This window comes from Homo sapiens, chromosome 5 (genome assembly GCF_000001405.40).
Source record: "Homo sapiens chromosome 5, GRCh38.p14 Primary Assembly".
Taxonomy (NCBI): Eukaryota; Metazoa; Chordata; class Mammalia; order Primates; family Hominidae; genus Homo; species Homo sapiens.
The window spans coordinates 14,405,462-14,422,408 of NC_000005.10; the positions used below are offsets into that span (position 1 = coordinate 14,405,462).

General features: G+C 46.6%; 1 protein-coding gene across 11 annotated transcripts in view, besides 4 other annotated features; it reads left to right on the forward strand.

Annotated features, from left to right (window-relative positions):
• Nucleotides 1–16,947, forward strand: part of TRIO (trio Rho guanine nucleotide exchange factor) — a 366,863-nt gene that overhangs the window by 262,120 nt on the left and 87,796 nt on the right. For all 11 annotated transcript variants that reach the window (NR_134469.2, XM_047417679.1, NM_007118.4 and 8 more), the window contains 3 exons: nucleotides 387–529; nucleotides 1,112–1,211; nucleotides 14,317–14,560. Coding sequence is in view for 10 of the 11 variants with exons in the window: in XM_047417679.1 (XP_047273635.1) it covers nucleotides 387–529; nucleotides 1,112–1,211; nucleotides 14,317–14,560 (487 nt within the window). In the remaining variant the exon portion in view is untranslated. The remainder of the gene's footprint in view (nucleotides 1–386; nucleotides 530–1,111; nucleotides 1,212–14,316; nucleotides 14,561–16,947) is intronic.
• Nucleotides 693–1,892: an enhancer, noted in NCBI's record as "P300/CBP strongly-dependent group 1 enhancer chr5:14406263-14407462 (GRCh37/hg19 assembly coordinates)". NCBI's record gives its function as "activates an origin of replication core promoter dependent on BRD2, BRD4, P300/CBP, MED14 and CDK7 cofactors, with strong dependence on P300/CBP, by STARR-seq in HCT116 cells {active_cell/tissue: HCT116}" and the evidence as "EXISTENCE:reporter gene assay evidence [ECO:0000049][PMID:35650434]".
• Nucleotides 9,249–9,318: a silencer, noted in NCBI's record as "silent region_15940". NCBI's record gives its function as "represses an Ori minimal core promoter by ATAC-STARR-seq in GM12878 lymphoblastoid cells {active_cell/tissue: GM12878}" and the evidence as "EXISTENCE:reporter gene assay evidence [ECO:0000049][PMID:35858748]".
• Nucleotides 11,977–12,523: an enhancer, noted in NCBI's record as "H3K27ac-H3K4me1 hESC enhancer chr5:14417547-14418093 (GRCh37/hg19 assembly coordinates)". NCBI's record gives its function as "activates a minimal SCP1, AML or CMV promoter by ChIP-STARR-seq in naive and primed H9 embryonic stem cells {active_cell/tissue: H9 hESC(naive and primed)}" and the evidence as "EXISTENCE:reporter gene assay evidence [ECO:0000049][PMID:30033119]".
• Nucleotides 12,080–12,219: an enhancer, noted in NCBI's record as "active region_22400". NCBI's record gives its function as "activates an Ori minimal core promoter by ATAC-STARR-seq in GM12878 lymphoblastoid cells {active_cell/tissue: GM12878}" and the evidence as "EXISTENCE:reporter gene assay evidence [ECO:0000049][PMID:35858748]".

Sequence of the window (16,947 nt, forward strand, 5' to 3'; positions counted from 1 at the left end):
CCTGCTGGCAGTATGCCCCCTACTGACCAGTGCGCAGTGTTTGCCTCAATAGCCTCAGAGGCGTTTTGGTGGCAGTGAGGGTGGCTGTGTTGGTTTATTTGCCCAGGGCTGCTTAAAAGGTCTTGGGGCTGGAGAATGATGGATTATTGCAATAGTCAGAGATCTGGAGTAATATACGTGCTATAAAACAAAAAAGGTTTTGATGAAAACGTATTTTTAAATAGTCATTTATTTGGTAGCATATTAAACGTCGGATGTGGTTGCTTTTCTGCTAAAAAGTCATTTTGAAAATAGAAACTCAAGGAATGCAGGAAACCTGGGTGTGGTTAGGGCAAGGTCTGGAAAGGGCCGTTCCGTATCCTAAGCAACGCTAACACCTTGTTAAGGCTTCCAGCATAGAGAACAAGCAGGACTGGATAAAGCATATCCGCGAAGTCATCCAGGAGCGGACGATCCACCTGAAGGGAGCCCTGAAGGAGCCCATTCACATCCCTAAGACCGCTCCCGCCACAAGACAGAAGGGAAGGAGGTGCGTGTCTGGGCGCCACTGGAGGTTTGTGGATGTGGGAGGGAGGGGCGAGGCGGTGTTAGCTCACCCTGCTTCAAAAATCCTTTCTCTCAAACATTTTGAGGAATACATTTTTTAAACTGCCATTTGTGGATAACATCATTCTTAGTAATGAAACTGCTTTGTCAGAGATAAGAGCCTCTATTGGCTTAGAGTAAACGAAGGGCTGTGTGCAAACCTCTCATTGTTTTGCCTTTCTCACCCCGAGCACCATACAGGGCACATGTCTAACTCATGCACATGACCTTGGATAAGTTATAAAGCATCGAGATGTTGCTGTTTTCTCATTTTTAAAATGGCAACGATCATATCAACTATATTTTATGGTGATGGGAATCCAACAGGATGATATGTTTTAAACACTCAGCACAGTGCCTAGCAGAAAGCCTGTGCTCGGTGAAGGGTGCCTTAACCATTGTCCGCATCCTGGCAGCAGCAGGCACTCACGAAGGCTGATATGCACCTCATTAAACAAATCAGTTGCTTCTCCAGTGACTGCCAGCTCAGCAGCATCAGGAACTAAAAGTTTCTTTGCACCGCCAGGGATGGAGAGGATCTGGACAGCCAAGGAGACGGCAGCAGCCAGCCTGATACGATTTCCATCGCCTCACGGACGTCTCAGAACACGCTGGACAGCGATAAGGTGAGTCACTGCCGGCACTTTGTGTGCGGAGGGGAATGTGGCCAGTCTCTGGTCAAAGCAGCCCCCTCCTTTCTGTTACTCACAGTTTGTCATCAACATTTTCAAGCAGTTGATACGTGCCAGGAGTGGTGCCAGGATCCCGTGGTGGGGCAGAGACTTGGGGGATTGGGGTGAGAAGACCTGAACCCTGAGGATTCAGGAGAAATCATTCAACTCTTTCCATCCTGCCCTTTGCCAGTGCCAAGGGTGTTACTGGACATTCGAGGGCAGCATACTTAGACTTTTTAATCTTATTCCTAAGCAGAAGAACCTATCATTTAAAATAAAATCCTACACAGAACACCAGCGTATGTTTTAATTTAGGATCTTTAAGATGGACAGCACCCTTCCAGCGACTAGGAGGGACACAAGATGGAAATAAAGAGTGTTGCTTACAGGTTCTGGGGATCACACGGCATCCCTGGAGGACAGGGAGCATGTGGGGAGAGAGGAGTCCTTGGGCCAGGCCCTTTATTGTGTCCAGGACATTATCCAAACAGGTTTGGCACAGGGCGTCTCAATGAGTGGGCTTAGAGCAAGCAGACACGAGTTTCAGAAGGTCATGCTGTGACTAGGAAGTTGTCACTCTGGCATATCTGCACAGTCCACATGAGGTGCGAGTGTCAGCAGGGCCAGTTAAGCAGGTCTTATATGGCTATCCCTTAGAGAAATGGTCACCAGAAGGAAGTTCTGTGAAGCAGAGATCAGGACCTACCACACTGAAGGCCTGGGAGAAGATGCTCCTGTTATGAGAAAGTCCAGCTTCTCTGGGTTCATAGTGATGCCAAGGCAATGTAAAATAGTAAGAACTCATGGCAGTGTAGAAGCGGAGCTGCTCTGATGGAAATGGGGGCTGTGGCCCTGAGATGCCCTCTCATAACCATAGTGTGCAGCAGAACATAGAAAACCTGCCCTGGAATTGGCAACAGTGATGACCACTGTGAGCTAGATCTGATTTTTATCAAAAAAGTTTGTATAGGTGTATCTTCTTCAGAAGCAGCCTAGAGTATCTCATGATTTTGTCTGATACAATCCAAAAATCCCACAAAGTAAATTGCTAGTAGAATTTGGAATCCTGGGTTTACGTGATGGACAAAAGACAAAATGTTCTCTGTCAGCCAGTGGGGAACATTGATCTTAATGAAGTCTTCTGTTCCTGCCAAGACTAGTGTGTTCTGTTACATTACTAGAATGCTAGACTGAATTCTTTTTAAAAAAATTGACAGTAAATAGGGGGTTTATTTATGAGCCCAGAATTGCTGAGCTTCTCATTCTCCAATGCAAGTCAGACCTCATTTCATGAGACCTTTGTCCCCATCATGAGACCCGGGAGTCTGTTCTCTGCACATCATTTCCGCAGCCCACTCATTGGTAGGAAGGAACAATGCCCTGACCTCACCGTCCTTGGGAATTGATTCAGACAGATGACAGAGTCCAGTATTTGGAAGGTTATTTCCGTGGCACATCTTTTAGTCCCAGACTGGCCTTTTCTCACTTGGTTTTGTAGGAGGATTCATGATACTTAATGTTCTAGTTTCAAGGACGGGAGTCAGTAGATTTAAAATACTGCTCTGCTGCAGTGATTCCATTTTCAATATCCTAGTTTAAGTGATTAGATTTTTTTTCTCATTATACTTTTTGGGTTCACTAAATAATAGATCCTAGGACTTGGAGTGGTTAGAATGACAAGACCAGAGAATAAAAAGAATTTCTCATTTTATTTTGTTCAAGGCCCTATGTATTGGCATTCAGCAAATATTTCTTGGCATGTAGTAAAAAGAAATAAGATAAATGACATGTTCAGGCATCTGATGCCTGATAGCATTTCTCTCCGAGACCCCACCTATGGCCATTGAGGTTAAAGAAATAAAGTTTGAGCTTGGAAACACTTTGTTAGAGTAATATTGATAAATTTTTTATTTTATTTTACTTTTTAATAAAGTAATCAAGGGGATTATCTGGTGAATTTCCATGAGGCTGCCACCTGAAAGGAAAGTTGAATCATGGGTGCTCAAGTGTGTGGGAAAGTGGCCCGCATTCAGGGCATTTCCAGACCATTTGAGATCACCGTCAAGCCCCAAATTCCCATTCTTAAGATAAACTCCTAGGGGTCTGCTCTGGATTTCCCCTAGACATGAGTTCAAAAGTTTATTCTTTTTTTAAAAAAAAAAAAGTAAATTTTTTGAATGAAATTGCTAAAGAGCTAAGTGGAAAAGTTAGCTTTGGAGGGTTCCTTTTTTGGAAGTTGGTCTAAGAGGCAAGGATAACTTGTTTCCTCGGGTAGTTTATGGATAAATGGGTGCCTGGGAGTCTGGAAATGACCCCTCTATCCAGGAAGGGGCTCTGGAGTCTCCAGTTCATTATTCCGGACAGAGTTGCTGGTGCCACGACTTATCTCCTGCGTGTGGAGAATTCCTTGGCTGGTACCCACCTCCTCTCAGCCCCAGCACAGCCCTGGCCCCTAAGGCGCGTGGCTGATTGGGATTCCCCAGCGGCTTGAACAGAAATAAGTCTCTATCCTGGAGTTAGGAGTAGTGAAATTAGCACGACTTCACATCTGTTATAGCATATTAGGGAGGGCTTACGTGAACTGGGAATACAGCAAATTATATTTGTATCCAACGAAAGAGGAAGAATAAATCACTACCAGAACAGTATAGGTTTGCCAAAAAAAAAAAAAAAGCAAATTTTACCCTAGCAGTCCACTAGGGTATGAAAATGTTAAGAAAACTCCCTATGAGATACTCTATCTGTGAAGATGATTCACCAGTTTCTCTTGACCTCATCTGATGTGTTGTCCCTAAACTTCACTCCTGAGCTCAGAAATCCCTGAAGGGTCGGCTGAGCACGCGGTGGCTCACGCCTGTAATCCCAGCACTTAGGGAGGCCAAGGCGGGCAGATCACGAGGTCAGGAGATCGAGACCATCCTGGCTAACATGGTGAAACCCCGTCTCTACTAAAAATGTAAAAAATTAGTCGAGCGTGGTGGTGGGTGCCTGTAAGTCCCAGCTACTCGGGAGGCTGAGGCAGGAGAATGGCATGAACCCGGGAGGCAGAGCTTGCAGTGAGCCAAGATCAGGCCACTGCACTCCCACCTGGGCGACAGAGCGAGACTCCATCTCAAAAAAAAAAAAAAAAAAAGAAATCCCTGAAGGGTCTCTCCTGCCAGTTCCACCATTGCCTCTCCAGCCCCGCTCCTGGGAGGCTCTTTCTTACTGAGGACCGCAGCCTGCCACGCAGCAACACTCACCCTGGTATTCTCATGGTTAACCATCTTGAAGGAATGACACTCCAGACTCAGTTTCTTAAACAGACCTGGCGAATTTTCTTAATGCCACTTGCTGAGAGCATCGGTCCTTAGTAGGCTCTAAAGCACAGAAAGGATGAAATGTCGTGTCGTGAGAACAGAACCACAGCGGGTGTCTTACTCCGTTCTGGAGACCTGCATTTGGGATTAAACGGCGTATGAGACTTGCCAATAAGTCAGAATTTGGAATTTGGAGAGGACGTACCCATGCGGCCTTACAAACAAGAAGGTGCACGTTTGCTGCCCACGTGTGCCTGCGTTTGTGTGTGCTCTGCTTATGTGACGTTTTCTCTTAGCCATCTCCCTCCTTATGCCTCTCCAGTAGAACAGTTGAGGGTCATTAGATGACTCAAGAACACATTTTGAAAATCAAGGACTCCATCCTTTCCCTAGTCAGTCTGCAAAATGCACTGTCCCTCTGAACTAGGCTTAACCAGCAACCCCATCTCCGGTGACGGTAATTTTCCTGAGTCTCGAAGTTCTTTCTGCCCTACGTAGTTTAAGTTTAAGCAGCCTCTGATAACGCAGGCAGATGGATCTGGCAAGGGAAATCACTTAACGACATTCTGCCTGTTCGACTTAATTTATGATGTCTGTTATTAGTTAGTTGTTATCATGGAATTTGGTTTCATTTCAGAAACTGGGTCGGGGGATGTTTTTGACTCGGCCTCTTGGAGAATTCTGAAGGCAAAAGTTATCTGCTAGGGCTGTTAGTAATTCTCAGATGAGGCACACAAGGTTTAGGGAGAGTCTGAAGGAGGGACCCTGGAGACGCCCTCTTTCCAGGGAGCACTGTCAGCAGAGCGGGGTTAGCCAGGCCACGGCCATGAGCCACAGGCCCCAGCAGCACGTTTCCTACTTTGAAAACATCAGTTTTAAAATATGCCTTCTTTTTGTTCCAGAAGTGAATTTAGTACTGATCCTTGCTGATCTCCATGGTACTTAACCTGACACAATGATCTTATGAAAATATAATTTGGATTCCAAAGAAATCAAGCGCTTTCCAGATTCTTATCTCATCTGTCCTGAGTGCATCTCCCTGCGGTAGGGAGGAGAGCGCTGAGCCGGGCCTGGGGCACTGCAGGAGATCCAGGCCCTCTGCAAGGCCTCCCAGCAGCAGAGGGCCACAGCCAGACACGGAACATGCATTTAATCATCTGTCATTTTCCAGGCCTTATTATTTCATGCAAGAGCTGAATTTGGAGCTCAGTATTTTTACTAAAGACACATCTTTAAAAATTTTTTCCCTGTCTCTTCCTTATTAGTCTGTGATTTATAATCATTAAACTAAAATCCATATTACAAAGAAAATAGAAAACATGGAACTCAAACTGTATTGTAGAACAAAGCATCTTGAGGCCAACATGGAAAAATGGCCGAGGCGAGATGAGGTATCCTGTGGAAAAGCCGGCCCGAGCCAGCAGGGCCCAGGTGTGAGCTGTCTTTCGAATCTTAAGCCGTATGTTTCTTATTTCTAATGAGTGAGAAATTCAGTTGAGACTGATAACTTCATGTGGAACCCCCTTCCCAAGCTTATAACATGAATATATGGATTCACATATTTAAAAACATAACTGGTTTCAGTCACTCTTTTTTTAAAATTCCTGAGGCAGGATCTCACTTTGTCGCCCAGGCTGGAGTGCAGTGGTGTGATCAGAGCTCACTGTAGTCTTGAACTCCTAGGCTCAAGTGATCCTTGCCTGGCCCCCCAGGTAGCTAGGACCATAAGTGTACACTACTATGCCTGGCTAGTTTTTTTTTTATTTTTGTAGAGACAGTATCGAACTGTGTTTCCCAGGCTGGCCTCAAACTCCTGACCTCAAGCAATCCTCCCACCTCAGCCTCTCAAAACGCTGGGATTATTGTCCTGAGCCCCACTGCATCCAGCCAGTTTCAGTTATTCTTAATGAAGCCTTAGCACCGTGTTGGAGACATGAGGTTCTATGTGTTGTTTTTTTTCTTTCTTTCTTTCTTTTTTTTTTTTTTGAGATGGAGTCTTGCTCTGTCTCCCAGGCTGGAGTACAGTGGCATGACCTTTGCTCACTGCAACCTCCGCCTCCCAGGTTCAAGTGATTCTCCTGCCTCAGCCCCTCTTGTAGCTGAGATTATAGGCAAGTACCACCACACCCAGCTAATTTCTGTATTTTTAGTAGAGATGGGGTTTTGCCATGTTGGCCAGGCTGGTCTCGAACTCCTGACCCCAGGTGATCCACCTGCCTCGGCCTCCCAAAGTGCTAGGATTACAGGCGTGAGCCACCATGCCCGGCCACGGTTCCGTGTATTTTAAAATTTAGAAAAGCAATCAGCTCTTTCTGTCAAGTGACGTTCTACACTCCAGGAACTTGGTTTGACTTACATAAATTGCAGCGTCGAGGTAGTATGTAAAGTAGTTAATGCCAATACATTTTGAAATATGGCCTAATTCACCATCTTGGGTAAGGGTGTATATCTATCTAATGATGCTTGCATTCAGCCTCCCGAGGTTGTCCTGCAGTCCTGCGTTCTGCCTCTATTCACCACATGGAAGGCGTAGGGCTGCTCGGCCAGGCACAGAGGTGTCCTACACCCTTCCCTCTGGCTGGAGCTGCTCAGAGAGGATGCTCTCTGCCTCCTGGCCAGCTCAGGGCTCTGAGTTTCCCAGGACCTCAGATAAGTTTGCCCCATGTAAGCATGAAATTGAGTCATTTAATTCAGAAGCCTTTTCCACAGGATGGTGCTTATTTTAACGTCCTTTATAAAGAGCACTCCCAACCGCAGTTGACCTTCCTCTGCTCAGAGTGTACCTGGCAGTGGCATAGCATATACAACACACCTAAGAGCAGGCAATCAAAAGCGAGGATGTACCCACCAGCAAACCTCTGGCCTCTGCCTCAGCAGCTGGTGGTCTTGGGCAAGTCACCTCACCTCTCTGAACCTCAGTTTCCTCATCTGTAAATGGGAATGATAGTACTGCTCACATATATTTAGATCAGTGACTAGCATGTTCTAAGCACTGAATAAATATTCAGTTTCTGTGTCTCCGTTATACAGATGGCTTCCTCCTGCCTCACTCGGGCTATTGGCCGGCATTGCTGCTGTTGCAGGTTACTGTCAATTTCAGCCTCCCCTTCCTTCATCTGCACACTCTTGGGGCTACAGTGGATTTAGCTGTTGATTGTATTGTACTTGTTAGGATCTGGAAGCTGTCCTAAGAATGAAATGTTTTACTTCAGTGCCTGGCCTGATGAATTGTGGTGGCTCAACTGCAAAATTCTGTGTGTGGAATGGGCACAATTACTGCAGAAGGGGGAGAGTCTTGCGTAAAGCACCTTTCCAGCTGTTCCGTCTTTCATCCTAGCTGCATGCGTATCCAGTGACCTAATATTCAAAGGGTGGGTTCATTTATTCTCAGATATGTATTGGCCACCCACTGTGTGCCATCCCTATGATAGGCATTCAGCGCACAAGAATGAATGAAGGAGACAGAGCCCCGCTCCCCTGGCGAGCTCTGAGTGATGGGTTCCGTGTGACGTCTGCTTCCTTCTTTTACTCATCTTTGTTTTCTGTTTTTCTAAGTGATGTGGCTTTTTGTATATTTTTTTAGATGAGTTTTTTAAGTTCTCTCATAAAACCACAAACTGAATGTCATCTTTGATCATTTCAGTTACCAAATCAGAAAAACAAAATCCCCCAGGCAGAAGTAGAAAGCCTCAGTTCTAAGAAAAGACAGATTTTTTTTAAGTTTGGTTAGAAATGTTACAAATTAAGTGTTTGTAAAATAGTAGAGCACTGAAAAGTGCTATTTAGTGTAAATTTTACACAACATGATCGAAGTTACAGTTGGAGATGGTGATAAAGTTATGTTTCAGACTCGAAGCAGGTATTTATTCTGATTGCTCTTCCTGGTGAGGGCCCAGTCAGCTAGTTAACATAAGCTGGTTGAGGTCAGCTAGTTAACGTTAGATCTCAGATCATTGTCCCTCCATGAAAGACAAAAAGAGGTATTTCAAATTAAGCTTCCTCAATAAAAGATTGCTTTGGTCACTCAGGAAATACAGCCAACAGGTTTCTTTGGGTTAAATGGTCCTAAGAAGTTTCTTGCTTTCCAGAGCCTAGGGGAGTGCACTACGTGAGGCAGGTGTTTTTCAACTGTTTGCCTCTTCCCCGCCCTCGTTCCCTTTTCCACTTCATAGCCAGAAAGCGTTTACCTGCCACGCCACAGGGCCGCCTGTGGGGCCTGCACGGCACCTCCGGCATTTCTCACTGGGATATGCTAAAAGCAAGAGTACAATGTTGGTCCAGGTGAGCCTCTGTGAACCCTTGAAGCCTAATGCGAGGGAGCTGCCACGTCTCTGGTTTGCCTACCCTTTTTAGTTGTATCTTTTAAATGCAGCCGTTTTTCATCCAGTATTTCATTCCAATTCATGTGTATGACAACACACTCAAGTCTTCCGAGATCAATCTTCACATCAGAAAAGCAGTGTGTGAGCATGTGAGTAGACAGTAGAGGGACTGGCATCCTCAAACACTGTCCTCACTCCTTCTTTTCCAGATACAGTGTTGAGTATGGTAAGCTGCTGGTTTTGAAAACGTTTTTTCTCACCGATTTTTTTTTCTTTAATTGTGGTTAAAAAAAAAATGTAACGTAAAGTTTACCGTCTTCACCATTTTTATGTCCTCACAGGTTTCTTTCTGTACCCCTAGTGTATCGGAGCCTATCACAATAGTCCTCCTCTTTTAAACTCTAAGTGGCAGATTTTAGTGAACGCTTCTTCTTGGAATTTGACCTTATGTAAAGCAGCTTGGGTGTTGGCGTGAGCACGGAGGGCCTGTTGTTCACGTTAGAACAGCTGCTGATCAGCCCGAGTCTCCGTGAAGTTGCCCTGTGGAGAAGCTTGGGTGGGTGAGAGCCTGGGGCATAATAGCATTGATTAGGGAAATTGTTCTGGCTGCCTATAGTTACCCTTTTTTGTAACCATTGCTAGCAATAGCACTGTACTCTCTAATTCCCTTTAACCAAGTAATCATTTTTTGGCCTACTCTGTGTGAAACCTTCACGGAACCGCAAGACCCTTTTGTGAGGTTTCTGAATGACTGAACTGTAGTGGGCTGTAGGCTGTGACGGTTCACGGGAGTTAATACACTTTGTTCTTTAGGGGAAAATGGCTTTTATTAGGCCACATTCTCCTTTTGCTTTTGAATTGCTCTCAGAAAATTGGTCAGAACCCACCTGCAATTGATCTTTACCACATTAGACTCTTGTTCTTGAAGTAGAATTGTTTGCAGCGAAGACTGACTGCATCACCCACCACACCAGTCCGAGAGAGCCCCCTCTTCCTCAGGCAGAGCTTGCCCCAGAACTCATCGCAGAGCTTGGTAATTCAAACCAGGTATTGCCGCCGTCTATCGAGAGCCATATGTTCTTGAGCCATACATGCCTCATTGTTGTGTCCAGGGCGGGGGTGTTCTGAGGAACAAAGGAAGACGTGACAACTCGCAGTGTGAGAAGTCCCCAGCCACAGCTCTTGTTAGTTACAGCCATTAACTGCGTTCGTGCAAGACAGTGATATGACATGGTTTCTTTGGAGAACATGAAAAGTAGAATTCTGTTCTATGTGGTAATTGTTGAAGGTTCACATGCTTGCAACCAGAGATGAGTATTTCATTCTCTCGGGTGAAACACAGTAAGTTGTTTATTTTCAGTCATTTTGGAAAGAATTCAGGAAAGGAACCGATTTGATTTTGCCAATTGTCCATATGTCTGGGCCTAAAGAGGGACTTGGGTGTAGTCTTTGGAGGAGGCACATTGGTGGTGGGTCCCTGGCCCCTGGTCCAATTAAGGCTGTTTTGTTGTCTTGCTTGTTAGTCACCACATTCATTTTTTTAATAGTGAAAAGTTGAAAGGTTTAAAAAAATCTGTCTTCTGATATGAATCTCGCAAGTGTTAATGTGAGTCATGGAAAGTGAGATTTTCACAAATTGCAATCCTAAATTCAATGCATGAGGTGGGAGCCCATGATAGAAACCCATTAAATATATAGAAGCAACGAAGATACTGTGAGAACTTGCACAAAATATGGTTAGAAAGAAAAGGGAATTTTTAAACTAGATAAATAAAATGGTAACTCTTTCAACTGAGGGTAGAAATTCTCTGAAAGCCAAGACCTCCGTCAGACGTAACATACGAGATAGTGGCTGAATGTTTTCTAGTTCGGAATTTAATTTTTCTTAAAAAGCAGTAACGATTTGCACTGCTTCCTCAAAATAGTTATCACAAGTCTTTTGTACACAGAAAAGTTTTTTTTTTTTAATTAGCAAACCTGGTTTCAAAGATGTTTTGCAGCAAGAAGTTAAAAATATTCAAATGTGAGCATTGAGGTGCATCCCCAGGACAGCTCTTCTCTGGGCTAGAAAACACCCATTTAATCCTCCCCTATGGGGCCTCTCTTTTTGGGTAAAGCCAGTTGATTTGCTGGGAGATGGGAAGATTTTTAAAATAATTGTAGTGCCCTTTGAAATATTCTGTTGTTGGATTTTCTTAACAAGTTCTTAAAAGCCTTTAAAAAGGAATTTTAACTTTGTATATGATTCTTTGGCAGAACATCCTTGATTTTTATTTCTTATGTGCTGTCAAGTACACAGATGTTTCCAATAGTTTTTGATTACTCTTTAAGGGCCTAAAAAATCAGTGCCAGAAATAAAGTCTAGCTTAATCCTCCTTCTTCGGCAGCCCCTCTCTCCCCTTCCCACCCTTCCCCCACCCGCAGCCCATGGCTTTGAGCCGTCTGGAAAATTAATAAGACTCTGGAGAATGAGGCAGCCAGAGGGCAGGTGATGAGACAGTGCACTTCCCAGCGTCTGGGAGTGGGGGCTGCTAGAAGAATGTCAGGGAAGCCCAGTGGGTTTCTGCTGGGAGCTTCTCACGTGCGCTCAGTGAAGCAGCGGGTGGCATCACTGGGGAGCTCTAGCCAGACCCAGAGGCCTGGGAAGGGCAGGTCCAAGGGGCCATGGCAATCTGTACCCTCCTTCGGGGCCTGCAGACCGGTCCTGTGTTCCCGGAACAGGAAGCACCCCAGCTCTAAGTCACGGGACTAACCACTCCATGAGTGTGGTTCTACAAGGAGAGTTCTTTTCCAGGCTGGGCCTCTGCCTTTGAGCTTTTAACATTAGCATCTTTGACTGTTCAGAGACCTGAAAAATTTAACATGGGTTTTCCACGGAGAAGTTTGTAAGATTGAGAAGGGGATTTATGAAAATTTTCCTTGTGGCCTAGCAAAGCTGATTCACTTTGTTGATACTGTGCTTCATGGTAGAAGAGTTTGGTTTTGTTTTGGTCTTTGTGGTTGTCTAGTGGACATGTGTTTCTTATTCTGAATATCTGAACTTTCTCTTAAAAGATAGGCTCCTACAACAGGAGGATAATCAACAGCACACAGCATGGCAGAGGCTCCCAGAGGTCCTCAGCACAAGGGGGCAGCCCCAGAACACAGCGGGAGTGTGAGCCATCGGAGGATGTGCGGGCTCCTGGGTCTCTGGGTGTGGGCTTGTGCTCAGTGGACTCCCAACAGGAATGTTTCCCAGCAGGAGGCTGGGCCATTTCCTCCTCCCTTCTCTCACTCCCACAGCCAGCCCCATAGCCCGCAGCACACTCTTGTGTCCCTGTAGTTTGTCTGGGCTACTGCCCTTTAGCAAGAGGTGACAGGGGAGAGCTGAGCGTCTGCAGGCTAAGCACAGGCAGAGTGAGCTCCTGAAGCCAGTGAGGAAAATCCAGGCTTCGTTTTGGGTTTTCAAATGCATTGCCTTCATTTTTAGAGCATATGTATCTTTTCTTTTTCATTTCACAAATATTTGAATGCTAGCTGGATGCGGAGCACAGTGCGAGGCAGGCTGAGGAGGAGACCCACTCCTAACAGCTTCTGTAAGTCACATGCCTACCACCACTGGCACTGGGGGACTCAGGGTGACTGTGCCCAGCCCCATCTCCGCCCTCCCAGTCCAGGGATGGAAAGTTCACAGAAGAGTAGGGTGAGCCTGCTTCTGGTGATGAAGGCAGACACACACACGTGTAACTCCAGCTGTGGCTCACTTCAGAATTGAAGTGCCATGGAGGACAGGCACGAGAGGGACTTCTCGGAGCCAGTGGGGAGCTTAGAATAGAGGGGACGTGGGGGCTTTCAGCAAGAGGGATGGTATGGGCTACTTACAGGCAGGACCCCTCAGGAGGAGGAGGGAGGTGCTTCTGGCCACTGGGGGGGACCTTTGCCTCCTATGCTAAGGCCTTTGTGTGTGAGGGTTTTGCATAAGAGGATGACGTGTTTTTAGAAGGTCTCCTGCCAGCAGTGTTTAGATGGCTTGGAAGGAGAACCTGGAGTCTGTGAGGGAGGAAGCTCAGGAGCCCCTGCGGGACCCAGTGAAGTGATTGGTATGGGAGTGCAGAGAAAGGAAGTGATCGGAGAGCCGCGCAACATCTGCTCGACAGCATTTGGAGGGAAAAGAGTGGGGTTTTTTAGCTTGAGTGACTTGATGGTGATACTGTTACCCAAAAGACAACACCGGAAGAAAAAGAGATTTAGGGGGTGGGAGGGCATGATGAGTCATGTCCCAGACTCTGCATTGCGGGGACAGGGAAGCATCCAGTTGCCCAGCAGGGATCGAAAGTAGTCTGCAGTTGGGATGCTTGCTTTGCTCGGGAGGAGTCAGCTTGAGGGTGTGGTTGAAGAGTCCCTGCAGGGGGACAGTGGAGAAGCAGCAGAGACAGAACCTGGGACAGTCCAGAGACCAGGAGCTGCTCTCGGGATTCTTATGTAGAAAAAACAATGAAAAGATTCTTAGGTAGGAGGGATGTTAATGAGCGCATGAGCCCTGTCCCCACGGAGTTTACTGTCTAAGGGAACACACACCAGGGCTCAGGCCATCTGAAGCAGACAGTCATGAGAAGACCATGCACTTGTTTTACCGGCAGAGGCCATGGGGTGTGTGTTGTTAGAGAGTTTATGGATGAGCTTTGAAGGACCGGAAGAGTTTCAGTAGGCCTAGGTGAGAGTGAGCATGGTAAAAGGAGAGAAGGAGGGAAAGGAACGTCAGGCTGGAGGAACAGAAGGCCAGAAAATCCAGGACCTCTGGGAAACGAGCCGATGTCTGCAGAGCCTGTGGTGCCTGCTGCGTGTTGAGGCCTGAAGTGGGGGAGCCTAGAAGGAATCTGAGGGCAGAGGGCAGAGGGCCTCAGGAGCCACACCAAGGGGAGCCCTGGACAAGCAGGAGGAGGCGCTTGAAGGATTCTGAAGAGAGGCAGGTGTGCTTTGCTTCGGTTTCAGGGTCATAGCCCATTGCCTGTTCAGTCCCGTTCTTGTGGCTGCCTCTTTCCTGACCCAAGGGATGCTTAAAGAGCCCACATATTCCAAAGCATGGAACGCCCAACACTGGGTCAGAACAGAAATTTGGAACAGAACTTTATCTCATTTTATCACCATATTTCATGATAATCCCCCAGATAGCCTTCAAGCAGAGTTTTTTTTAGTCTGCTGTAAGTTAAAAAATGAGTGTATATATAATACCACTTTGTGAGGAAGGAAATAGAATGTCTCAGGTTCAAGAAATTTGGAAGCTCTTATGAAAAATCATATTTTCATACGGAGAGTGCAGTGATCACACAACCTCGGAGCACTCAGCTCACTCCGGGGCAGGGTGGCAGGAACCCACCTGGAGGACTTCCCAGCTGTACCTGAAGGCACCATGGCTCACACTGGCTGACCTGTCCTCTCTTCCTCTGTTCCCCCCAGCTCTCTGGTGGCTGTGAGCTGACAGTGGTGATCCATGACTTCACCGCTTGCAACAGCAACGAGCTGACCATCCGACGGGGCCAGACCGTGGAAGTTCTGGAGCGGCCGCATGACAAGCCTGACTGGTGTCTGGTGCGGACAACTGACCGCTCCCCAGCGGCAGAAGGCCTGGTCCCCTGTGGTTCACTGTGCATCGCCCACTCCAGAAGTAGCATGGAAATGGAGGGCATCTTCAACCACAAAGGTAGGAATCAGTGGGGCATGGGTGGCAGACCCCTACTGGAAGTGGCCCTGGAGCGCTCTGTCTCCGCGCCTCTCCTGCCTGTTAATGTGCATGAGCTTCCTTGTCAGCTGTGCCTTCAGCACATGGTCACTGACTGTCCGGGCATTTCCAGTCCATCAGCACCTGAAGAGGAAATGAGGATTTCACCCACGACTCAGAAATAATGAGTGATCTCCTCACTTCCAGGGCGGTGTAGTGAGATATGACATCAGTTTAGAGAAGAACACTGATTTTGGAACATTCCAGTTGCTTCCTTCCTTTATCATCTGTGCCTTCTTCTGTGTGTCATGATACCTCCTGGAGGCCATCCCCTGGCTCCAGAGGGTTAGTCATTCCAGGGAGCTAATGAAGCTGCAAGAGAAAACAGCTACTGAGTAGTTCTCCTGATTAATTATAGGCCAAGCCATGTTCCGGATTTCTCAGGACCTAAATGTGAGTTTACTGTCACTTCGGTAAGAAACAGGAAGAATTAGGCTGTTGTTTCTCCAGAAATCTGAAGAGAAAGGCAGAGGATTTTCAGACTTTGGCCAAAAGCCAAAGGTGTCCACTTCCATTTCTGGTGAAGCTGCCCATGCATTTGGAACAGCGGTGGGCTTCCCCTCGTGGTGTCTTTGCATTTAGAGATCTGAGCCATGCTGGCTTTTAGCCTGTTGCCAGAATGCTTTGCATTCAGTATATTCAGTTGCATCAATATAAGTCCTTGAATTTGAGTTGAAAATAAAGTACAACTTTTCCTGAAATTAGTCTGTTCTGCAGAGGGGCCCTGGTGAACTTAAGCATGCCTCAAATAACACTTGTTCTGAAGGATTTCTTCCGCATGTGCCTTTCCTGTGGTGTGTTCTTACTTCCTGGTGTTTGCAATTGCAGGCTAGCCAAGGCGAAAGAACTAGGCATTCATCACACTTGGCTTCGTCCGGAAAACTTCTGGTGGAGGTTGGGTTTTTGAATGTTGCTACGTTGTACCATTTTGTTTTTCCCTATGATACTCTCCGATATTCTTGTACCTGGAAAGTCACTCTGCCCCTCACAAACCCTCTAATGCCCTATTTTTACCAAGAAGGTGTTTCTTAATGAGCAAGACCTGCTGTGAACTTATGCCAGCCAGTGGTTAGGGGCTCAGAACTGTATCCATTTTTTTCTTTTTTCCCTTATTTAATTATTTATTTATTTATTTTATTTTATTTTATTTTATTTTATTTTATTTTATTTTATTTTATTTTATTTTTTCCTGTAATGCAAGGAAACTCATAAGATTGTTCCTGGCCAGGCACGGTGACTCACGCCTCTAATCCCAGCACTTTGGGAAGCTGAGGTGGGTGGCTTACCTGAGGTCAAAAGTTCGGACCAGCCTGACCAACATGGTGAAACCCCGTCTCTACTAAAAATAGGAAAAATTAGCTGGGTGTGGCGGCAGACGCCTGTAATCCCAGCTACTCGAGAGGCTGAGGCAGGAAAATCGCTTGGACCCAGGAGGCAGAGGTTGTAGGGAGCAGAGATCGCACCATTGCACTCCAGCCTGGGCAACAGAGCAAGACTCCATCTGAAAAAAAAAAAAAAAAAGATTGTTTGTTCCCTTGCAGTGTTAGGAGCTGCGCAGCAACAGACAGCAGGTGTGGGTCAGAAGTAACATGGAAACGGAGGGCGTCTTCAACCACAAGGATAGGAAGCGGTAGGGCGTGGGTGAGGTCCTGACCATGTCCACGTCCAGGAAACCAGGCAGCTTGACCAGAATCTCTGTCTAGGAGACAGAGGCCATCATCAAAAAGTCGGGCAACAAGGGATGAGGATTTAGACGTGGAGTCCAACAAAAGACATAGGAACTGCAGGAGCAGGAGGCCTCTGTCCCCTGGGAAGCAGAGACCCAGGCTTGCCTCTGCTCAGCCCCACAGTCCTCCCCCTTCTCCTGCCCTGTGTGTGAAGAGGGGTGCTGCCCCCACGACTGGAAAGACATTGGCATGTGCCGGCCTGCCCATGCCAGCCATCCACATGCCTCTGCCCGTCCACTCTCTCCTTTTGAGCCTCTTTTCAGTATAAGAGCTGTTCAGGCTTGAAGGATATGCAGCGAGCGAGTTAAACATGGCCCCTCTTTGCACACCATGGCATGCATCATTCTGGCAGCTGGGTAAGACCCCCTCCAGTATCAGATGTTCAGGCTGCCTTGCCTCACCCTCGCTTCAGAACTCAGGGACGGTATGGAACTGGCTTTACAGATTTGCCTCTTGTTGCTTGCTATTAAAGTTAGTTTCTTATATGTCTCTGACTCTTACTGCTCTGACCTTCTAGGCAGGAGGAAGGAGCACCTTCATTCAGTTCTAGTGTCTCTACATTTTCACAACCTCAGTGCCTCA